The sequence below is a fragment of the Homo sapiens genome, chromosome 9, assembly GCF_000001405.40.
Source record: "Homo sapiens chromosome 9, GRCh38.p14 Primary Assembly".
In the NCBI taxonomy this organism is placed as follows: Eukaryota; Metazoa; Chordata; class Mammalia; order Primates; family Hominidae; genus Homo; species Homo sapiens.
Window position 1 is genome coordinate 89,806,671 of NC_000009.12, and position 24,428 is coordinate 89,831,098.

At 46.1% G+C, this 24,428-nt stretch overlaps 1 long non-coding RNA gene across 1 annotated transcript, besides 4 other annotated features; it reads left to right on the top strand.

Moving 5' to 3' along the window:
- Positions 9,282 to 9,391: an enhancer, noted in NCBI's record as "active region_28558". NCBI's record gives its function as "activates an Ori minimal core promoter by ATAC-STARR-seq in GM12878 lymphoblastoid cells {active_cell/tissue: GM12878}" and the evidence as "EXISTENCE:reporter gene assay evidence [ECO:0000049][PMID:35858748]".
- Positions 9,442 to 9,541: an enhancer, noted in NCBI's record as "active region_28559". NCBI's record gives its function as "activates an Ori minimal core promoter by ATAC-STARR-seq in GM12878 lymphoblastoid cells {active_cell/tissue: GM12878}" and the evidence as "EXISTENCE:reporter gene assay evidence [ECO:0000049][PMID:35858748]".
- Positions 11,173 to 14,828, top strand: LOC101927823 (uncharacterized). Its single transcript, NR_188443.1, has 2 exons — positions 11,173 to 11,254; positions 14,581 to 14,828. It is a non-coding gene; the product is annotated as an uncharacterized LOC101927823 (long non-coding RNA).
- Positions 21,673 to 21,742: an enhancer, noted in NCBI's record as "active region_28560". NCBI's record gives its function as "activates an Ori minimal core promoter by ATAC-STARR-seq in GM12878 lymphoblastoid cells {active_cell/tissue: GM12878}" and the evidence as "EXISTENCE:reporter gene assay evidence [ECO:0000049][PMID:35858748]".
- Positions 21,913 to 21,992: an enhancer, noted in NCBI's record as "active region_28561". NCBI's record gives its function as "activates an Ori minimal core promoter by ATAC-STARR-seq in GM12878 lymphoblastoid cells {active_cell/tissue: GM12878}" and the evidence as "EXISTENCE:reporter gene assay evidence [ECO:0000049][PMID:35858748]".

Genomic DNA, 24,428 nt, shown 5'->3' on the forward strand with positions numbered 1-24,428 from the left:
GGCTCTGAGCCCCTATAAGTCTGGCCTCGGGGAGGGGATGTGGCTGGAGATTGAGTTCAATCCCATAGCCATTGAATCAATGAAGCCTACATACTGAGACCCCAATAGGCACTCTGGACACCTGAAGTTCAGCTGAGCTTCCCTGGTTGGTCATACATCCATGTGCCAGGACAGTGACATATCCTGAGGACATGAAAACTTCATCCATATTTGGAACCCTCCTAAATCTCACCCTCTGTGTCTCACATTGCTTGCATGGTCCTGAGATGTATCCCTTAGAATTGTGAGTATAGAGCTCTCCTGACTTCTGTGAGTCATTCCAGTATGTGATTAAACCTGATGGGAACCCAGCATATGATTAACCCTGATGGGAATTTGTTACTAGCTGGGCAGAAGTGTAGGCGGTCTGTGGACCCTGAGTTCATGGCTGGTGTCTGAATTGAGACGCACTTGTGAAGAAGTGAGCCTTAAGCCGAGAATTGGACCTAAAGTCTGCATGGCAGTGTCAGGGTGGCATGGCATCCTTTTGGCCTCAATGTGACCATGTCTCAGTCCTGACCTGGTGCTCCTCATTGAATCAGAACCCATGGGAAGCCCAAGTGAGGAGATGTACCCTCGTGCGGGGGCTTCCTCCGGGTCAAGCATCCTTGGTCATAAAGTATACCTTCAAATGCCCTTTGTCAGGTCACTTACAGGTCTTCCAAGGTTAAAATATTTGATAGTGACACTAAATACTAACGTTAAGAGAAAACACTGTCACTGATAGACATCTATCTATAAGATCTTGATGAGTCCAGCATTCTAGGATCAGGGACCATGTGGCATTTGGCACAGAGTTTAGTGTGGCCTTGTCTGTCCCCGGGGAATTTATTTTCTTCTCTGCAAGTTTCTTCTGAACTGTGTTTATATCTGTGTTAGAACACTAGTCACAAGTAAATGCACATCCTTCTTCTCTTATGGACTGCTTTTGTGGGCAGAGGAGGGCAGGTCTTTATGTTTATACCCCTTGCAACATTTAGTGAATTGGATTTAGGAAGGGGTGGTTTGGTGAAGACTCCACAAAGAAAGCAGTAGGGCCAGAGAAAAAAAAAAGCCAGTACCACCTGGTAGAAATGGCACTGTGCAGTTCACTACCTTAATGTGTGCACAGAGTGGTGGTTCAATCCAGTTACCCCTGGATGACCTCAGCATTTCCCCAGCCCCAAGAGCATCAGTAAACCTGAAGCAAGTGAGGCTCAGGCCCTGAAAATCTCCCTCCGTGGTCTTGAGCCCTGGGTGTTTTTTTTTCTGCAACCTTCACTGGTGGGTCACTTCCTGGCAGAATAGCCATGGGGAATTCTTTGTCTCTCATTGTTGTTCAAAGTCCTTTAAAAAACAGAGTGTTTTCGCCCAACCCTGGGGTTCTGGATTCTGCTTGCCTGTATTTCTGTACCTAGTCAGCATCAGGCAGAAACTGACCATTCAGGAAGAGAGACAATCAGATGTAAATGTGTTTTCTGCTACTGCCTCTAGGGGAACGTTCTTAAATATTCTCAGCCAGATGACCTTCCCTCCCCTGCTGTTTATTGTTTTTCACTATCAAATGTTCCCCCAGCTGTGGCAGCTGGAGTTCAAAGCTGTCCACTTGCAACAGAGTGTCCTTGGTGGGTTTTCTGCAGTTGATTAATGCCTGACAGCATGTGGGTTCCTCCAGGCAGTGGCCCTCTGTTGGATTCTTCAAGGCAAATAAGAATCTGCCGGAAAGAAGGCATAAATCCTCCCTTGCACTGTGCTGTCAGCCGTTGAGTCTCGCAGGTTTGCTTCTGTAGAACCAGGAGAGTCAGGTCATTTGAGTGTTTGTGTGCCCAGGGTTATGCCTCTGTGATCCACCAACTGCGTCTCCAGTGCGGCCTGCACCATACAAGACAAAGACCTGGAGATGAGCCGTCCGGCTCCAGCCCCTGCCACTTCATTAAAGACTGTCAACAGCCTTGATCTATCTGTCTGTGTTACCTGATCCCGCACGCTGATGCGCGGTAAAGGACTCCCGTGCTGGAGACCATAGTGTAGGCTGTCAGAATGGAATTTTGAAATTGTGGCCAGACACAGCTCACTAAAAACTGTAATTAGTGGGTAGACAGAAAAGCCTCATCACCCAGGGCCTGGTTTTTTTGGATTGGTTGGGCCATGCCCATCACGCAGGGAACATTGCAGAGGCATGACTGGGGGCTTAGATCACGGCAGCCCACTTACCCCATACCCCATACCCAGTACATGCCCCACTGAGACGGCGACCATTAGAATGTCTGGAGAAACACGGAGGATGGTCATTGGGAGCAGCTCAGCTCCAGGTCGAGCTCCCATTGGCTGCAGAGGTAGCTGCCTCAGGCAGGCCCTTGTGCAGTGCGGCCTCTCTCCGTGGGTGATGCGTCTTTGTGATGAGCCATTTCCACCACGCAGACCTTGAGCACAGTGAAACAATAAGCCAGCGATTACTCAGTACAGCGCTCAGAGGAATTCCAGTTTACTATCAGCAGTCATTAGCCCAATCGGTAATGATTCAGAGAAGGGGGATATTGAAGGCACTGGCTATTTTTCTTCCTTTTTTTAAATTCCGGATATTAATCTTAGAGAAGCACAAAAAAGCAATCTCAAGAGAGGTCTCAGGTGAAGCAGTCTTTACTGAATAGAATCACAGAGACTGTCTTGACATAGAATTGGGCTTTGGAGAGACATTAAGCAAGGGTGACGGACACTGCAGCTGCATAGTGTTGATTGCAGGAGATCGATTGGACAGCCGGCTCTGCTTGTCTGCCATTGTGGTAGACTGTATTTTCCAAAGATGATCATACCTATCTAAAGCCCATCCTCCACTGGGTGCGGGGTGCTGTGTTCCCTTTTTTTGGACCTAGGCAGGCCTTTGTCATTGTTTGAATCAATACAATATGGCAGAGGTGGTGGTGTGTGCCTTTTGTAACCAGATCATCAAAGTCATTAGTTTCTGCTTTGGTCTCTTGTCTCTCTCACTCTTAAGACACTTGCTCTTAAAACCCAGCTGCTATCTTCTGAGGAAGCCCAGGGCACAAGGAGAGGCCACATGTGGGCATTCCAGCCAAAAACTGACAACAAGCATGGGCCACCAGATCTACAAGGAAACATCCTTCAGATGGTTCCTGTCTCTGCTTTGAGTCCCCCAGTGGAGGGACCAGATACCATGGAGCAAAGACAGGCCATCCTGCCACTCCCTGTCCCAATTCCTGACCCATAGGAACTGTGAGAGGTGATAAAAGACTATTGTTTTAAGCTATGAGTGTTGGGGAATGTGTTATGCGGAGCAGATAATAGATTCACCTGTCATATCTAGTGGGTGCTGATTGCCCATGTGCCTGAGCATAACCCCATCTCATATGTTTGCAAAGAACAATGCATGAACCCAGTGCATGGCAGGAATTCAGGGAGCAAAATGAACTTGATGGTTACCCAAGCAGGCAGCAGGAGCTTGGTTCCTGGGTGTGGCTTTTGCGCCCCTGGTTTTAGCTCCAGGGATATTCGTCAAAAGTGTTTAAGGCAAGAGTCAGCCCTGCCTCTGTAGAAATAACAAAGAAAAAACAAATGGCAGGGATAGACAACCCTAGTGGGAAAACACAGATATATGAGTTCCATAGTCACTCAGAGAAATGAAGGGATGAACAAAAGCCCTCATCATTCAAGTGACTTTTCCTAAACTCTAAATAAATCTCGGCTAAACACCCAGGTGTAGGGGCAGTATCCATCACATTCTCAAGGCAGTTGTTTTTTAATTTTTTTTTCCGGGATTAAGATAGAAAATGCTTCAGCTTTCCAAGGCAAAGCGTTGCTGCCTGCATTCTCTGTGTGTCATGTGGCCTCAAGCACACCAGGGGTTTTCCTGGAGTGTGTCCTGGCAGTGAAGAGGCACGCAAGGCATCTGATATCCCAGCACCCACAACTGAACATTTTTATGACATTCGCCCAGCTGTACCTTTATAAAGATATTATGCAGGTTCCGAGAGATTAAGCTTTCCTTCCCAACCAGCTGCTGTGGAATGATGCCCGGCATATGGAGGACAGATAGAATTTCCCACCCTGACATGTGCCGAGAAATTTGACTTTAAAAAGTGTTAATCAGTAGCTCAAATCATCAGCCATGCATGAGGGCAGGACAGCAGGAGTCTGGAAGCTAAATCCACAAATGCATGGGGCCATCCCTGGGTGATCCAGAGAAGGAAGTTCATCCATTCAGTCACATTGAGCATCTCCTGCCAAATGAGGGGTTCCCTGCTTGCTGTAGCTGCAGACCTGAGTTTGAATCCTATGGAGACCTGTTGCTTTGTTAGAAAGTAACAGAGATGTCTGGATGCAGGAATCCGGAGCCTGGTGCTGCCCCGCACTTCATAGGTGTGGTCTTGAACACACTTTTGCTCCCTTCTGGCACTGGGCCTCATCAGAGGGGCTCAGTGAAGTTTGGAGATTGAGTTTGTTTTTCATCTGGATGGACTGCCACCTAAAACATTTCAAAGAGCCCTTGTTTGTCCATCTTCCAGGAAATTTGTCCTGGAGCCTGACCATTCCTTTTTTTGGGGAGGCACCTCTCAGCAGCAAAAGGTGAAGTTAGGGGTGGCAGCACAGGGGTTTGGCCTCAAGAAAGTGGCTGGTGCCCCTGGGATGGTGGCCAGCAGTGAGGAGGAGCTGAGCAGGGGAGGAACTTCAAGGTTGGTTTCAGGTCTGGGGGCTGGAAGTACAGACATGGGGATGGACAGTTCTAGGCTTCGAGGGAGCTGCAGCCCTGGCAGGGGAAGAGGGCTTCATGTGGGAGGGTAGTCAGGGGCCGTCACTGCAGAAGCTGGGTGGCCCTGTCACCAGGGTAATGGACCACAGATAGCAGATATGTCCAGGCAGCTGCAGAGAACATGCTGGATTGCCCCTTTCCAGAGTGCGGGCAAGGCTGGCCTGGCAACAGCCAGGGATCCCCTCCCCAGGTATGAGGTGTGGGCACAGAGCCACCTTCCTCTCCAGGTGCAGGGTGGGATAGGGGAATTGGGGCCAGGGAGGAGGGCTGGGAGCAAAGAGAGGGGGAGGTAGGGGAGGTGAGCTGGGGTGGGGAGGAGGAGGGGATGGGGGTGGAGAAGGTAGAATGAAGAAGAGATGGTGGGGTGGGGAGGAGGGCCGGGGATGGGGAACCTGTGGAGTCCCAGGTGGGGAGCCCTGGGCCAGGCTTGACAATCTCTGTCTCTTTCCAGCCATGAGGTGTGGCTACTTTTGCTTTTTGTCTCTAATGCTGAGAAGAAACACCCACAGAGAAAGTAGACATAAAACCCTTCAGATAACAGGGGGTAGAAATCAAACACACATCCTGTGACTCTGCTGTGCGGGAGGACGGTGCCCCCACCTCCAGGAGCCCAGCTGTAGGGGGGAATGGAGGCTGGGCTCAGCACCGCAGCCCCCATGCCCACCTGCACCCAGGCTCACTATGCAGACTGCTATGTGCGCTGCAGGAGCCAGACGGATGCTTTCTTGCAACAGGCTTGCTGCAGATGGTGTAACCCGTCTGAACGTTCATCTTGGTGGATGAGAGGCTTTCTCTGCACACAAAGCCTGAAAGAAGCCCCTCACTACCTCTCTCAACCATCTCCACTGGAGATGAAGCTTCTCAAGCCCGGGGAAGCCACGGAACCTTCCAGATACGGATGTCCCTTTTGTGGGGTACATTCTGCTCCACAACTGGACAGGAGGTTGAAGCCTCACTTGGCCTGGGGTGCTGACTTCCTCAGGGTCCAGGTGAAATGTAGGGAAGGGCCCTGAAAAGTTAGTGCTGAGAAAGAACTAGGGAGAAAATGTTTTGAACCTCAAGCCTTCCAAATCTTGTAAGAGGCTGGAATACATTTATGCAGAGTCACAGAGAAGTCTCCCAAGCCCAATCCAGGCCATCAGTGTTTTGTGTTCCATTAAGACTGGCACATTTGGAGAAGTGGCTGCTGAGCGTGTGGGTTACGGGGGTACAACTACCCTGGCATGTGGATGGCAGGTGGCCAGGTGGCTGGTGGAGCTGACCTCTGACCTCCAAGGTGTGGCTGAGCCCCACGAGCCAACACTGCCTTGAACCACAGCTACATCAGGTGGAAACACAGCTCAGAGCAGTACCTGGTCACACAAGCTCCAGGGCAGTCTTGAGGGAATGGTCTGGAAAGTTTGAATGCACGTGGCTGTGCCGGGGTAAGGTGACCATGGCGGTATGGCTGCAGCTCCTGGGAACTGCCTGGGGCCAGGAGCTTTGACAGGTGAAGCTGCTCCCTTAGCAGAGTGTATACCACCTGTAGATCCTGCTGCCACTCAGACGCCCAGTGAACCCCCCAGCCCTGCCCAGGGCATTGCATCTGGGGGCATCCCGTGACCTCTCACATACCTTGTATGATGGTTAATTTCGTGTTTCAACTTGGCTGGGCCACAGGGTACCCAGATATTTAGCCAAACATTATTCTGGGCATGTGCGTAGGGTGTTTCTGGATGACACTGGCATTTGAATTGGTGGACTTAGTAAAGCAGGGGGCCTCCCCAAGGACGAGACCTCATCCAGCTCACAGAGATCCTAAAGAGAGCAAAATGGCTGAGTAAGAGGGAATATCCACCTGACTGCATGATCTGAGACGTGGATCTTCCCCTGTCTTCGGACTCAAACTGAACATCAATTTCTTGAGTCTCAAGCTTGCCAGACTTCAGTCTGGAAGTTTGAAGGGATTTCCACCTTGAAAACAGCAGATCTGGGGAAGTGTCAGCCTTCCTACTCATGTGACCCAGCTCTTCTTTCCCTGTGTTTACACACCCACTGGTTCTGTTTCTCTGGTGGACCCTAAAGAATACACTCAGTATTCTCCGCCATTGAGAGGCATGGCCCTCACGCCTCCTTCCTGCTTGGACTTGAGATCAAAAGGCAGAACTACCACCTGCGTTAATGCATCAGGATGTGATGGTGCACAAGGGCTGGTCCTCTCCTTGAACTGCCACAGCACCTGATAGCAGGCACCAGCTTTACAGGGGAGGCTGCCGCAGACTTAGTGAACAGCGTGGTACCATGTGGCAGGAACCACTGTGGGTTTAAGGGCTTGCATACATTTCACATCTCAGCAAAGATGTCCACATTCTCTGATGACACCTAAGATTAGCTTGAAGTTCTTGGAAGAAGCCTCAAATATTATCACCTAATGAAGTTTAGATGTATTTTAGATGGAGAGTTGAGAGTCCTTTTACCCCTTACCTGATTTGAGTCCTGGATGATCTCAGCAACATTGTTTCCTGGGGGCCTGAAAAAAAAAAAGGGAAAGATTGAGGTGGACTAAATTTTTATATTTAAGAGGCGCTCATGCATAGTGTGAGTGTGAAACAAAAAAGCCTGTCTAAATAAGCAAATAAAACAGTGGAAATCCATTTTTTAAACCTGAATGCTGGGGCCTGGGCGTAGTGGACATAGCAGCATTAACATTTGGAAAGAATGCTTGAAAACCCTTTCAAAAGAAGCCACGTAAGAGGTGTGTGCATGCACACACACACAGCCTGTTGATGCAATTTATGTGTCCACATTTAATTTCTAAAAAACCTTCCAAATTTGCAAGCACACAATGCTGTAAGTCCTAGAGCTTCTAGGGAGCTCCCCTTGCAAATCCGATGCTGAGGATCAGGCTTTTTTTTTTTTTTTTTTTTTTTTTTTTTCAGAGTGCTTTTAGAACACCGTGTAGGACAGGATGTAGAAATGGGAAACTCACTGGTGTTCTGGCGATACCACAGCCAGACTAAACTGAGCAGAGAATCACCTGCTTGCAATGTAGAATTTCAGAGGGAAGGCAGAGAACAGGCTGGTCTCAGCCTGATGGGGTGATGGGGAATGGAGTACTGTGCACTCCAGTCCCCGCCTGCAGCCTGGTGCCAGCCAGCTAGGGGCAGAAGACAGCCCTGCACTCAGCTCATCCTCTCTGCTCCCAGCTGGGCTCTTAGTTCACACTGGCTGATCAAGAGCTAATATGTCTCCTTTCCCTGAAATATAATGAGGGAAATGTGACTTTGGCTTTGATTCTTCCCTTCCATCTACTTCCTCTAACCAACAACAAAGCTCCCATTTCACTAATGGTTCCTGATGTGATCCGAGCCCCACTAAATAGTTTATGAGAAATGGCTATTTTTATGTGAGCAGAAAAGAGCAGTTCCTGGAAAGCTGGGGCAGCCCTTCATGTCTGGGCTGATGAGATCATCAGTCTCAGGAAGCCGCTGCTCTGCCGGGGCCATTATTCACTATGAGTGCTCCTGTGTCCACGGAAGCCATCCATCCGGCCACCAGGAGACATGGCCTGGGAGCACTGCGTTGGAGAGAGGCTGACTTACCTAAAGTCCGCTTTCCCTGCTTTCCTTGTTGTGACATTTAAGAACAACGTCCTGAACGTGAGAGAATGGAGAAAGGAGACTTTAATGGGGGGTTACAACTGGTTCTAACTGGGGTCCCTGGATCAGGAATATCAGCATTGTTAGAAATGCACATTCTCAGGCCCCATGGGCAGCACCGTGTGGCTGCTAAGGGCAGGGTCTCTAAGCTGTACTGCCTCTGGGCTTGCAGCCTGGCCCTGTCCCTCATTAGCCAGAGGATCCTACTGTGCCTGTCTCCCTGCTGGCAGAACGGGCATCAAATCTCATCCCTCTGTCCAGTGTTGCTGCAAGGATTACACAGGCATCTATGTAAAGCCACTGCAGCAGGTACTGTGTATTAAGTGCTCAATAAAATGGTCAGCTGTCTTGTGATGTCAGAATGCCAACAGGGTAAGTGGCAGGGCCTGTTTCTTCTCAGGGAGGTCACAGTCTTGGGCACCTTCGTGTCCATGGAGATCCCAGGCCTGTGTGAGCTGCAGGTTCTGCCCTCAGAGAGGTGGCTCTAGAAAACAAGCCAAGCTGAGCTCGTAAATCTCCTCCCTAGAGGGGCACCTGCCACATTAGGAGGCGCTCTATTTATGCGTTCATATGAGAGTGCTAAAAGCTGCTCTCACTCCTCATCCATCCCAGTGGTACAGGCCGAACAGTGCCCTCTCAGAAAGGATCTGCTGAAGTCCTAACCTCCAGCACCTCAGGATGTGACCCTATTTGGACATAGGGTCTTAGCAGAGGTAACTGAGTTAAAACAAGACTGTTAGAGTGGGCTGTAAGCCAATCTGGCTGGACTGCCTGTAAGAAGGGGAGATTTGGTCATAGACAGGTACAGAGGGGCATTGGGAGGAGATGGCCGTCTCCAAGCTAGGAAGCCACTCCCCACCACACACCAGATCTGCTGGTACCCACCCTGGCCCCCCGGCCTCCTGCACTGTGAGAAGTGACTGCCTGCCGTCGAAGCCACCCAGTCCCTGGTGATGAGTCTGGCAGCCGAGCTGAGCGACACAGCTGGAAATTCCCCGGCCTTTCTTTCCTCTCACTTCTCTGTTCTGTTGCCAGTGACATCTGCTCTGATGATCTATGGCCATGTGACAAACCACCCCAAACTTTAGTGGCTTAAAACAATATTAATCAGTTATTTTGCCCAGGAATCTGCAGCTTGGGCAGGACTCAGCCTGAACAGCTCTCCCTGCTAGCCCCTTGCCTGCTGTGTCCACTAGACGGGATGGGCAGATCCACTTCCAGGATGGTGCGAGCAAGCTGCTGCTCTCTGTGGTGGGATTGGTGGGAGCTGTGGCTTCCCCTCAGCATGAAACTGGGCTCCAAGAGCACATCTAGGAGACAGGATGTGGAAGCTGTTCTTTCCTAAAGTCTGGACCTGCTCAGAAATTGGCATGGTGCCCCGCCCTCACCATGTTCTATTTGTAGACAAGTCATGGAGCCCAGATGCAAGGAGCAGCAGGGAGATAGACTGCACCTCTCATGAGTGAGAGCCAGGGAGTTCGGGGCATGTTGAAAACCACTACATATCACTGACGAGGTTTTTAGGTGTGAGTTCCTGAGAATGTCATCCTTTCTCTGCCCAATTTTCAGCTTAAATGACAACCCTATGAGCAGGTACGTGGTACCCACTTTGTGCTCTGGGCAGTGCTTTGCACTTTGAGATTAGGAGAGAGATGTGGTCCCGACCCCCACATCATTCAGTAGCAGGGCCCACAGCCATAGCTTTTAAGCTTGTCTCTGTTCAAACAACATCATGAAAGGCCAACATTAAACAGACAGGCAAGGTTGGGAGCGTGGCGCAAAGGGTGGCCTGCCTCCCTTCCAGCTTCTTTCTTCTACTACGACCCCCAGGGAACTGTAGGCACAAACACTAGGTTGATGAAAAGTTATGAGCATACAAGCTCAGAGATCGGGGTTGGAATACTTAATCCACAGCTTCTGAGGTGCCCCTTGAGCAAGTCACTGAACCACTCTGACCCTCAGTTTCCTCTCCTGTAAAACAGGGTAATAAAAATATCTCCCTTCCTTGTCCATCATGAAATGTAAGCACAACCTTATGTCAAAAGAATGGCATTTAAAGGCCCCTACTACCAAATTCTGAGCTTGGGTGAAACTGTGTTAGGCTTCCAGGAATGGGAAGATGCCTAGGCTGAAATCCAAGCTGGGCCCTGCAGGCTAGGAAGCTTAAATAAGGGGAGCAGGGAGGAGGAAAAACAGAGCAGACAGGAGGATCATCATCAGCAAGCAGTCACGTGGGCCAAAACGTGCTGTGGGCAGAGGTGGCAGCAATCAGGATGCCAGGCTTTCTGGACAGGGTGCCCGGGAGGGGAGTCTGGGGAGACGCCATTCAGAGTGGACACTGGGTTTGTGCGTACGTAATGCTCGACTTGATGGTGGCACACAGCAGAGGTCCCTGAAAGCGACATGGCAGGCACACAGGAGGTGGGGTCTGCCAGGAGCATTGGGGGCTTATCAGAGCAAGGCTTTAAAAGCATGCAGTCTGGCAGGGGTGGCCTTGATGATGCTTGGGAATGCAGAGGGAGGGTGATCTGGGAATACCTTCCAAAGAAATCAAGGCCAGAGCTTAATGTGGAAACAGAAGGAAGGAGGAGGAACTGGCTTTAGAGATAACAGGCTTTTCCTGAGCAAGAACCTAGAGGGATGACACAGGGGAGGGGTGGCTGGCCGGTGGGCCTGGAGCCAACTTTGAGGCCAGGGTGGAACACGTGCCTGAGACGAGGGTGGGCCGTCCCAGTGTCGGCTGCCTGCAGACATCAGAAATGTGGTTTTGAATCACAAGAAGAAATCAAGACTAATAGTGGAAAAGCCTGAAATGTCTTGCATAGAGCTGGTAGTTGAATTTCTAATTTTTTTTCACTATATCTCTAGAACTTAGTTTTTACAATTTCTCCAAAATATAGATTCTCTAGCAACCCTTCAGATGAAGATGGACCTGCAAATCCACAGCCCTTTTCAACCTCCAGGAACACCTGGCCACGCCTCCTAGAAGGCCTTTCCTGGTTTTCATATGTTTAGACTGCCATGGGATTTAGACATAGATGGGACTCTAAGAAGACTGCTGCTCTTCTCTTCTGCTCTTAGATAGGATTGATCAAATTGGGAGACTATGCTTTAGTAAATTTCATAGGTTAACCAACTTCCTCACCCAGAAGATGAAGGTCAACATCAACAGAGATAAGTCATGGCGGACAGTCAACATCAAGAGAGATAAGTCTTCACGTTATGTGATGAGAATCTATTTTTTGTTTGTTTGTTTGTTTTTGAGACGGAGTCTCGCTCTCTTGCCCAGGCTGGAGTGCAGTGGCATGATCTCCCCTCACTGCAACCTCTGCCTCCCAGGTTCAAGCGATTCTCCTGCCTCAGCCTCCCGAGTAGCTGGGACTGTAGGCGCCTGCCACCACGCCCGGCTAATTTTTTAATTTTTTTTATTTTTAGTAGAGATGGGGTTTCACTGAGTTAGCCAGGATGGTCTCAATCTCCTGACCTCATGATCCGCCCTCCTCGGCCTCCCAAAGTGCTTGGATTACAGGCGTGAGCCACTGCACCCGGCCATGAGAATCTTGTAAGCTGCGGTGATGGTGAAAAATATTTTATGTTTCAGCTAACCCCTTCTTGATGTATCTTTCTTTCTTCCTTCCTTCTTTCTTTCTTTCCTTCCTTCCTTCCTTCCTTCCTTCCTTCCTTCCTTCCTTCCTTCCTTCCTTCCTTCCTTCCCTCCCTCTCTCTCTTTCTTTCTTTCTTCTTTCTTTTCTTTCCTGGGTCTCACTTTTGTCACCCAAGCTGGAGTGGAGTGGTGAGATCTCAGCTCACTGCAACCTCTGCCTGCCAGCCTCTCGAGTAGATGAGATTACAGGCACCCACTACCACGCCTGGCTAATTTTTGTACTTTTAGTAGAGACGGAGTTTCACCAGGTTGGCCAAGCTGGTCTTGAACTCCTGACCTCAGGTGATCCACCCACCTCAGCCTCCTAAAGTGCTGGGATTACAGGCATGAGCCACCATGCCCGACCGATGTATTTTTCAAGTATATTTTCTTCTTGTCTTTGGTGGAGTTTTAAAAGACCTACAGCCATCTGTAGGTGTCACTTCCTTCTCCCTCTGAAGCTTCCAGATGCCTGCCCAACTCTGATGGAGGGTTGTATCAAATAGACTAGAGGTTACGGGTTTTGGGGAGGAGACCACAGAGATAAAGTGCCATTCTCATCACATAACATCAAGGTCACATACTATCAACACGACTTATCTCTGCTGATGTTGACCTTCATCTCCTGGTGAGAGAGTGTTTGTCAGCTTATTCCACTGTAAAGCTATTGAACCCCTTCCATTCCCATACTGTGCTTTATGGAATTTTGACCATATTTTGTGTGGAGCTGTTTGTTTTTCTTGTTATCGAGTTCTGAGTTCCTCATTTCACTGTCATTCTTTTAACAGTGTCTTTTGAAAAAGAGAGTTTTAATTCTGATGAAATCCAATTTGTTAACCTGATATCCAAGGTCACAAATGTTTTCTCCTGGAAGTGTTATCGTTTTAGGTTTTAAACTTAGGTCTGTCACTCATTTTGAGCTGATTTTTTCATGTAGTTCCAGGTATGGAGCAGATAGAAGCTCATTTGTGTGTGTGCACACATATGGATATTCAATTGTTCCAGCACCATTTGTTGAAAACTATCCTTTCTCCAATGACCTACTTTGCAGTTGCCGTTGTTGAGGCTTAGTTGTCTGTGTGTGTGAATTTCCTTCTGAACTCTGTTCTGTTCCATTGGTCTATCTGCTTTGATGCCAATATCACACTGTCTTGATTACTGTCGCTTTATAATAAGTCTTAAAACCAGATAATATTAGTCCTCCAACTTTGTTCTTCTTCTTCATACCTGATCGGCTAATTTAGACAATTTGCATTTCCATATAAATTTTAGAATCAGCTTGCCAATTTCTACAATATAGCCTGTTGGGATTTTCATTGGGATTGTGTTGAATCCACACAGTTTGATTTTGGGAGAATTGTCATGTTAGCAATATTAAATCTTCTGTCCCAAGAATCTGGGTATATTCCTCCATTTATTCTGGTCTTTAATTCCTCTCAGCAATATTTTAGAGCTTTCCCTGTTTTTAAAAAAATACCATGTATATGTATAAACTTCATAAAATAAAGTAAAAATATTAAAGAAGTGTTTACATAAAGAAAACTTGCTGGAAAAGCTTAACAGGTTCTGTGGGAGAAGCCACCCAAGATATTTAGCTATGACCGTATGGACGTGAGTGTATGTGCATGTGAGTGTGTATGTATGCAGGCAGGCATGTGTGAATGTGCATAGGTGTGTATGAGTATGTATTAGGAGTGTGTGTGTATGTGTGAATGTGAGACAGTGTGTATAAGTGTGAGTGTATATAAAGCAGTGTGTGATGTGTGTAGGTGTGAGTGTATGTGAAGCAGTGTGTGATGTGTGTAGGTGTGAGTGTATGTAAAGCAGTGTGTGATGTGTGTAGGTGTGAGTGTATGTGGGTGTGTGTAGGAATATGTGATGCATTAATGTATGTGTAGGTGTGAGCATGTGTGTGCAGGTGTGTGATGTGTTCTGTCATTTTAAGGGATATGGAAGGAAAGGAGGTCAATATGCTTGTTTTACCATCTTGATGTCATTTCTGAGTTGATTTTCCCTAAATAAAATCTATTTCCAGGAAGAGTTTGTGCTGGCATTCTCACCAGGCTGAACAACTCTAATTAATTGCTGGTCCTTCTCTGAGAGCATCTCCACACACAAGCTCACGGTTTGGGGGAGGAGGACAGCATGTCTGGGAGCCTGGGTTGTGGGCAGACCTTGCCTAGGTGGGGTGGGCTTCCTTTAAGAAAGAAAAAGGTCCCCCTGGGAAAGGACCTCCAGGCCCACTTAGGCAATCTTCTGGCCTCGGAGCCCTTTTTTCCTACAAGTGGAATGGCCTTGCATTCATTTTCTTATCGATCTTACATACTGTTCAATCCTTGTAACTGAAGTGGCTGTCCTGGGAGGAGAAACTCAAGTCTTCCTGAGAGATGGGTCATTTCTTGTCAGGAAATGTGAGGACTTGTTCTTCCTGCCCAGGCCCCTCAGAAGCACAATGCTTCTGGCGCAGGTGGTCTCCATCTCACCACTGAGAGTGCTTCTTCTTTTCATGGCAGGACTGTTTGCAGCTCAGGATGTTTGCCATCACAACGGCAGAGCCGCAGTTCACACCCAGGCACGTTCTCCCCAAGACCTGTGGCTGCAACCACTGCTATGCATGGAATGTGAGACGGACGGTGCTCGCCTAGCCAACAGTTGATGCTGAATACATCTTCATCTGTGTATTGACCATCTACCCTTTTCCCATGATTTGTTTGTCAAAATTCCTTGCTAATTTCCTTATTAAAAATGGTCAGTATTTTAATTCTCCTGATTCATGATAATTTCTTTGACAAGGAAATTAATACTTTGTTAAATGAGTACAAATATTTTTAAACAATCTGTTTTACTTTTAATCTTTGTTTATGGTGATATTTTGGGCATACAAAGGTCTTTAATATCCATGTTATTAAATTCACAAATATTTCCCTTTGTGGATTTTGGGTTTCAGTTTATAATTCTAAACATATTCTCCACTCCATGATTACAAAATAAAAATAAAACAACACTGGTATTTTAATCTACTACATTTATTGCTTTTACTTACAAATCTTTGTTTTAATTGGAGTTTATTTTGGTAAATGAAAGTGCATGAGGGGACAAGTTATTTTCTTCGATGTGGTTGAACAGGTGTTGTGAGAAGGTTCGGAGTCCGTCTTGCCATGGCTCCCCAAGCACACCGTCTTCCTCTACTTTTTATTTTGTTTCTGTGCTGTCTATTCTACTCCTTTGGAAAAAGCAGCACCCTGAGAATGGAGTGGACTTCGATGTGCTACCGTTGTTGGAACCTCCAAGCATGGATGGAGCCCTGCTGACTTTGGAGGCCTCAGTTCTCACCGATCTGCACCTCTTGCACCCTGTAATCACTTTCTTGGGGTAGTTTCTACCTGACCCTGACAACCTCTCATGCTCTCTATGTCCACAGCTAACCCTGTGTTTCTGCAACTCTGGCTGTGTATTGGGATCACCTGAAAGGTTTTAAACATGACTGCTGCCTGGGCCCCATCCCCAAATCCTTTTTTTTTTTTGAGACTGAATTTTGCTCTTGTAGCCCAGGCTGGAGTGCAATGGTGTGATCTTGTCTCACTGCAACTTCTGCCTCCTGGGTTCAAGTGATTCTCCTGCCCCAGACTCCCAAGTAGCTGGGACTACAGCCACCCACCAAGAAGCCCAGCTAATTTTTGTGTTTTTAGTAGAGACGGGGTTTCACCATGTTGGCCAGGCTGGTCTCAAACTCCTGACCTCAGGTGATCCACCTGCCTCGGCATCCCAAAGTGTTGGGATTACAGATGTGAGCCACTGCACCCGGACCAGAAATTCTTATATAGCCAGTCTGAGCTGTGTCCTGGGCATTGGCCACTCCTAAAATCTTCCCATGTGATGCTAACATTCAGCCAATTAGAGCCTAGAAAGACTTGAAGGATAAGTGCAAAGCCTACCCTATTCTGAACATGGGAGTTGGTTCCTTTCCCCAGTCATAGGAGGCTTATGAACACAAATACTTCCGTGGCATAAACTCAGCAATGTGAACCTCCCAGTAGTAGGGCTTTTCTAATTTCTTCCACTCTTGGGCAATGACTCTTCTACCAGCAGCAACTATGGTGAGCCCCCAGTATGGCTTCGTTCCCTAGAAGACCTACTGACCACATGATGGTAGGTCAATTATATTAGACTCTGTCCATCATGGGCAACTTCGTGATGCTTTTTTAGTGGGAGAGACATTTATTTCTTTTATGGAATTTCCTACAATGTCTGCTCTGTTTCTGCCTCAAGAACCATGCATGGACTAACAGAATACTTTTTTCATGGTCATGTTGTTCCATGCAATATTGTTTATGGCTAAGAGACAAATTTTAAAGTGAAAGAGGTGAGGCAATTTGGATTCTCTGGTCTTACAATGTACCCATAAACCAGAAACATCTGGCTCTATAGAGTAGCCAAGTGGTCCACTGAGGATTCATGACAACATCGTGTGGATGGCAACACCACGCTACACTGAGATACTGTCCAGCAGGAAGGGAATGTGCTTAGTACCAGCAACAAGCACATGGGCCTGGCTCTCTTGTAACCAGAATGACTTTTCCTGTAGCCAAGGGGAGGAAGTGGGAGTGGCATCATTCACCATTATGCCTAGAGCCTGCCATTTTGGGTTTCTCATTCAATTGAATCAAAAGGTAAAATGCAGGTGGTTACTCTTTTGGCTAGAGTGACGGATCCTCTGAATGAAACGTAAATTGGATTGCTACTACACAATGGTGGCAGGCAGACGTGATCAGGGGAGCCTCTCCTTTTACTGCCAACTCTAGTGATCAAGGTCAATGGGAGACTGCAGAAAATCAAAATAGGTAGGACTTTCAAGGGCTCAAAGCCATTAGAAATAAAAGTTTTCTACCACAGAAGAAGAATACTGACCAGCTGAGGAGCTGGGTAGGTGTAAAGGGACCACAGACTATGCAATGGAAAAAGGAAGATATAAACACCAACAATGGGAACTGCATGAAACCTGCTACTATCAAATGGCAATGTGAAACTCTATGCTCCTTTTTCCAGATAAACAACTAATACTGTTAAGAATGATTTTTTTAAAAGCAGCTCCCAATTTAAGTCTCTGGAAATTGTCCAGTGGAATACAAAAAATCTAGTCTTGGTCAGAATGTTGAGAGTCTGGGGCACTAGTACCATGACTTCCTTCTCCCCCTCCTGCCTTTTGCTCAGGGTGATGGATGGTTCACTCCTGGTAGCTGTGAGATGGAAGATGGGGCTCCCTCTCTCCCTAGTGCCAAGTCAAGAACTAAGATATATGCCCAGGAGAAAGAGGCTACTAGCATTTCTCATTCTCCCTCAAATCCATGTTGTAGAGGCTAACTTCCAAGTGAGTGCAGCTGAGAAGTGGGGGCGGGGAGGTCCCTTCTTACACCCAGCCCCTACTTATAGGGAAAAGTCTCCACCTCAGGCATGGCAGGCTGTGAATACTCAGATGGCAACCCCCCTCACCCTGCCTCGCTGGCAGGGTGGAAGTTCCACCCCAAGAGAAGCAAGCCCAGCAGACCAGAAGCTATCACTCCTACCCAGCACCTGGCTTGTGCAGCAGGGTGTGGCAACAAGAGAACTGGGCCACTGTCCCCACCTCTCACCTGGGGCAGTGGCTACTCAGGGATTTTGCCCAGAGGGAGAGGCAATCAATAAGAGAGAGCTCTAAAACTCTTCCAGAAGAAACTGACTTTAGAACAGTGTGAAAAGTTTCGAACTTAAGAGTGCTCTTGAAAACAGTGGAGATTTTGGTGGTAAGAAATTAAGAGGAGGCTAGAAGGGCCAGAGGAGTAAGAAACTGAATTATAGGCCAGCTAGTTTACAAGAAAAATAGACAGCTAAGAGGAACCCTCTTTCAGCCAGAACGTACCCCAGAGACTGGCCCACAAAGGACCCTAAATTTAATTAGACCAGATTGTGAGACAATTCATGCCACCAAAGTGTTGTCAAAAACAATACAGCAGTCAACTGGTAATTAATGGACTCTGAAGACCTGCATGTGATGTCAACAAAGGCATACAGCTTAACACAGAGCTCAGAGAAAAAGGTATTCCAAGAAAGTTTTTTAAAACCCTTGTTGGCTGGGCACAGTGGCTCATGCCTGTAACCCCAGCAATTTGGGAGGCCGAGGCGGGCAGATCACTTAAGGTCAGGAGTTCGAGACCAGACTAGCCAACATGGTGAAACCCCGTCTCTACTAAAAATACAAAAAATTGGCCAGGCGTGGTGGCACATGCTTGTAATCCCAGCTACTTGGGAGGCTGAGGCAGGAGAATCGCTTGAACCCAGAAGGCAGAGGTTACAGTGAGCCGAGATTGCACCACTGCAGGCCAGCCTGGGCAATAAAATGAGACTCCATCAAAAACAACACCACCACCACCACCAAGAAGAAGAAAACACTGTCACTGCAGACTGACTGCATATGGCCATGAGTGTCATGTGCATGTGTGACTGAGCTCTCTGTGGAGCAATATTAGAGGCTTCACATGATATATATAAACTAATAAATACATCAACTTATTCTCTCTCTCTCTCTACACGCATGTGCACGCACGTGCTCACACACGTGTATATATCACGACGTTGGCCTCATGATAAATTGTGGAAATTAGGACTGTTTCATATACACATTCCCTTGTTATATGGTTTATATTTATATCTGCTAACCAAATTTCCTCCTATATTTTTTAAACATTTAGGGTATGCTATTGGTGGCTGTCATTATAATTTAGCCTTTAGATTATTACAGGACTTCAGTCTTGAATTTGTATGGAGCTAGGTGAGATAGGAGCATCACATCAATGATGGAACTTGGGTCTTCTCTTCTGGGGAGGGGGTGGGTGTGTTAGTCTGTTCTCATACTGCTATAAAGAAATAACCTGAGACTGGATAATTTATAAAGAAAAATGTTTAATTGGCTCACAGTTCTACAGGCTGTATGGCTGGTGGCAGGGGTGGGGCTCAGGAAACTTACAACCATGGTGGAAGGTGAAGGGGAGGCAGGTTCATCTTATGTGGCCCGAGCCAAAGGAAGAGAGAGACAGGGGAGGTACTACGCCCTTTTAAACAATGAGATATTGGGATAACTCACTCACTCACTATTGCCATGACAACACTAAGGGGAATGGTGTGAAACAATGACAAACCACTCCCATGATCCAGTCACTTCTTACCAGGCCCCACCTTCAACATTGGGGATTACAATTCAACATGAGATTTGGGTGGGGACACAGACACAAACTGCATCACGGAGTGTGTTTCCTTTCATTTGAAGAGAATCGCATTCAGGTAGGAGGAGCAGACTGCTGTTGCTGTTGTTTGGAAGTGTGATTGTTGGGGGAATGGGATATGAGCGTTGGGAGAAGCTGCAGGGTAGCTGGGAATGGATGTAATAACTCAGTGCTCGGCATCCACGCTACCCACCTCTATATCAGAGATGGGAAAGACAAAACACACGCCTCTGAGAGTCCTTTCTAGTGAGGCTTCTGGATTTGATTTAAGTTTGGACCATCAGATGCCGCAGCCTGAGATTTGGAAGGCAGAGTGCTGGAAGGCTGCACTCCCGCTGCATCTGCTGGTGCTTCGACAAGCAAGGTGGTGGAGGTGTTGCCTGTCTGTAAAGGGATGATCAGAGCAGCGTCCAGTCTACGGTGCCCCAAATACTCACAAGCAGCACGCACAGCACTCCTTCACTTGGTCTCAGTGAGGGGATTGCACCGTGGAGCACAGTGTCTGTCCTGTCAGACCATGTTCTTATCCTTGTGGCTTTCTACTGGAGGCAGCTTCTAAGTGGCAGTGTCTCCATCTTGGTGATGGCAGTGTCTCCGTCTCTGTGGTGGCAGTGTGCTACTGGGGCCAGAGGCTTTCTGGCTGCAGAGGGGGCAGGAGCACCCTTGCTGGCCCGATTCAGAGATATGGCTTTGGGAGCTGTTCCCCAAACCTCATCCAACATCTGTTTCTCCAGTCCTGCCTCTGCTTCTGTGAACCCCTCAATACCCTGTCATTAATCCCATCATGCGCTAAGCTAGCTAGAGAAGGCTTTGTTTTTTGTAGCTGAACCCTGGCCAATACAATGCATTACATAAACCGATTTCTTAACATGGAACCAGTTTTGCATTTCTGGAATGAACTCAGCTTGGTCATAGTGTATTCTCCTTCTTACACACTGCTGAATTATATTTGCTAATATATTAGCTGTACATCATATTATATATAATTATATTAGCAAATATAATTAAAACCTTATTACTGCTTTCTTATATAAGGCTGATCTGATTTCTGTTTCATATTAGTTAAATTTTAGTCTCTGTGTTGTGCTGGCCTTCAAAAAATCATCTAAAACTTTCTTTCTTCCTTGTGTTCTAGAAAAGTTTATATGTTGGAATTATTTCTTCCTTGAATGTTTTCAAAATTTTATGCATAAGACTATCTGAATAAGGTGTCTTTGAGTCAGAGTAGCTTTTTAATAGCCTCTTCAATTTCATCCATGGTTATTGATTTATTAAGTTTTCTATTTCTTTTGAGGTAGATACTTAAAATACATGTGTACCTAAGTAGTATTCTATTCTGGGGAAGAATTATTGATCAATCATATAAAAATTATTAATTTTTGTTTGGTAATACAAATGTGAATGACTAATACATTTTTTCTCTTAGCATTGTTTTATGTATGTTTCATTTTGTAACATGTAGCTGAGCTTTGTTTATTAATCAAATCCGAGCATCTTTTACTTTAAGCAAATGAATTTATTTCACGTTTATTGACAACAATTTGGTCTTAATTTTATCTTATACTCATTGTTTATTTTAAAATGTCTTTTTAGCCACTTTCTTTGCTTTCTGTCTTTTGTTATGTGTTTTTTTTAACATTCACTTTCATTTCCTTTTGGTGATTTAGGAGACTTTCTTTTTCACTTTTGTTATCCTTACATATTTAAATAATGTCTAAGTGTTTAAATTTTGAATTATCATTGTTATCCACAATAACAGTATTCATTAAATTCCCACTAAAAAGAATGAGCAAATTAGTTTACCTTTGCTTCCTCTCATCTTTTGCTCCTCCATTTTCATGTGTTGACTTTTGTCCCTGTCTAGTATAGATATGTGTAATGTAGATACATTTTGACAACATGAATATTTTTTATTCCTATCATTAATCATATATTCTTTCAACCCTTACACATTAAACTTTAGTTGTAAGTTATTTACTGGGGAAGCAGAGAATAGTTTCATGCAAAGTCACTGAAGAGAGAGGAAGGCTATGACATAAAGAAGCTTCCACTTGGTAAAAGGAAGAATCAGACAGGCCTGATTCCAGAAGGACAGCCTGAGGAGAAGGAAGAAGAGCCAGTGGTCAGAGGTGTGTTTCCTGGCTCTGTTCTCTCTGGATAAAAATACTGTAGGTGGCCGGGTGCGGTGGCTCACGCCTGTAATCCCAGCACTTTGGGAGGCCAAAGCAGGTGGATCACGAGGTCAGGAGTTCGAGACCAGCCTAACCAACATGGTGAAACCCTGTCTCTACTAAAAATACAAAAATTAGCCTGGTGTGGTGGCGGGTGCCTATAATCCCAGCTACTCAGGAGGCTGAGGCAGAAGAATCACTTGAACACAGGAGGCGAAGGATGCAGTGAGCCAAGATTGTGCTGCTGCACTCCAGCCTGGGCGACAGAGCGAGACTCTGTCTCAAAAAAAAAAAAAATACTGTAGGTGAGGGTAAATGAAAGTGGAGGCTCCGGAAGTGTGGACCACAATTTCCTTTGGGTCTCTGGGAGGTGACCGCCTAAGGAGGGACTTGCATACAGCTGGGGAAGCTTGAGTAAGTGGGAAATGACAGTGCGGCTTGTTTACACCTAGAGAGATGGCATGGGCTGCATCCTCCACTCCGCTGTACCCTAGGTCCCAGCTTCAGGTGTGAGCTGTGGAAGTTTCTCCATGCTTCTACTTGGGAATGGAGAAGGGAGCTGCTTAAGTTGGAAATCAGCAGACCTGCATATTTTTGGTTATTTTATTGTTATTGTTATTGATTTCTAATTTCATTGTCTTATAGGCAGAGAATATGATCTTCATGATATTGGCTATGGAGTATGGGTTGAGACTTCTTTTGTGGCCTAGTGAATGGTCTGTTTTAGAAAACATTCCATGTACATTTGACAAGAACATGCATTTCCAACTTGTTAGGTCAGAGTTCTGCATATGTCTGCTAGACCAACATATTTTACAGTGTTCAAAACTGAATCTCAACTATTTTTTTTGGTCTACTTTATCTTGCATCTAATACAACTTCTTAATATGATTGCCTATTTTTTACCTTCTTTTTGAAATTATGTTAATTTGGAGAGGGACAGTATGCTGTTAGCTATTCACAAAAGGAGGAGTATTAAGCACTCCTGGAAATTTTTTTTTAATCATTAAGTAGTGATTTCTTACCACTCCTTTGCTTCGATGTCTATTGTGTCTGAGAGTAAAATTACTCTGCTCGCTTTGATTTGGTGAGTATTTGCTAAGGTAGTGGACATTCATCAGGCTCTTGGCTCCCGCATTGCATCACTTCTGTATGTTTGAGGCATTTTCCACTGTATAATCCTTAGTGGGAGGCAGATTCTCCCACCCCATGTAGGTACTGAAAAGTATAATCAGTTTTCCAGCTTATCTTGCTGCTAAAGTATTGGCCAAAGATAAGATATTCCTAGGGTTTGAATGGGGAGCTGGCAATATTAAGAAGCAGAGAGAACAGGGGATCCACCCCAGCAGCAGTAGGAGCCATGCCCGAGTCCAGAGGCAGCAGGAGCTCAGCCGACAGAGGCAGGATCACAAGAGCAGCATCCAGACTTTAGCAGTGACAGCAGCTATGTTCTCTTGCCAACCTTCCTCAGGAGTTACTTTTGGCGGTGGTGAGCTCTGCCCCGACTTCCTTCCTTTCTGCTAATTCAGTTGTTCCAAGTTCTCCAGATTTTTCAGAAATACTATTAGCTATCTCTATTAGTCCATCTTCATACTGCTATGAAGAAATACCTGAGCCTGGGTGATGTATAAAGAAAAAGAGGTTTAATGGATTCACAGTTCATATGGCTGGGGAGGCCTCACAATCATGGTGGAAGGCAAAGGAGGAGAAAGGCATGTCTTACGTGGAGGCAGGCAAGAGAGCATATGCAGGGGAACTGCCCTTTATAAAACCATCAGATTGCATGAGACTTATTCACTATCACGAGAACAGCATGGGAAAAACCACCCCCATGATTCAATTACCTCCCATTGGGTCCCTCCCACAACATGTGGGGATTATGGGAGATGCTACAATTCAAGATGAGATTTGGGTGGGGACACAGCAAAACTATATCACTATCCAATGTCTATAAGTTGCTAGGTTTTGTTGTGGGGGTGATGGAGTGGAAAGTAAAGATTGTTGCTTTAAATCAGCTATAGTTGGTTTCTGGCACTTGCAACTAGAACCCTATTACTGAAATTGTCATACTGATGCTTCTGTCTCTGATCTGCCACCACATGGACTATTCTAGCCTCCTCCCCTTGCTTTGTGTAAATGCCCACTCCAACACTAAGAAACTTGGCTTTTACCATCCTCCATCCATTTACTTAGTGGTTCAGTTCCAGTACAAATGGATAGCAGGATTAGAACTGTTCACTCCCTCCCATGGTGAAAACTCTATCAACTAGCATACAGTGCTTATGTACAGCTTCTTTGCCTCTAGTTGTATATGCTCCACTCATTTCCAAAGTTACTTAGGTCAGCACGTTTCCCCTCTGTCTAGTTAAGTGAGGTTATTTTACACATTTTTGATAGAGTTTGATTATTTTGTCACATTCTGCATTTCATCCTGGAAACCCCAACTTGCTATATGATTTAAAAAATATTTTCCTACATTAAGATTCACTATTTTTTTTTTTTGCCACAAAGTTCTATGGATTTCCACAAATGCTTAGTGTCATGTCTCTACAATTACTCCAGTACCATACAAAATAGTTTTAGCATGCTAAAAGATCCCTTGTGTTCACCTAGTCAACCCTCCTCCCCTCCTCCTCAGCCCCTGGCAACCACTGATCTTGTAATTGTTGCTATATTTTTTACCTTTTCCAAAACTTCATGTAACTGCAGTAATACATTATGTAACTTTTTCAGATTGGCTTCTTTCACTTAGCAATATGCACTTAAGATTTATCCATGTCTTCTCTTGGCTTGATGGGTTATGTCTTTTTATCACTAAGTAGTATTTCATTGTACAGATGTACCACAGTTTATTTATCGACTCAACAATTGAAGGGCATCCTAGTGGCTTTCAGTTTTGGTGATTATGAATAAAGCTGCTATAAACATTCATGT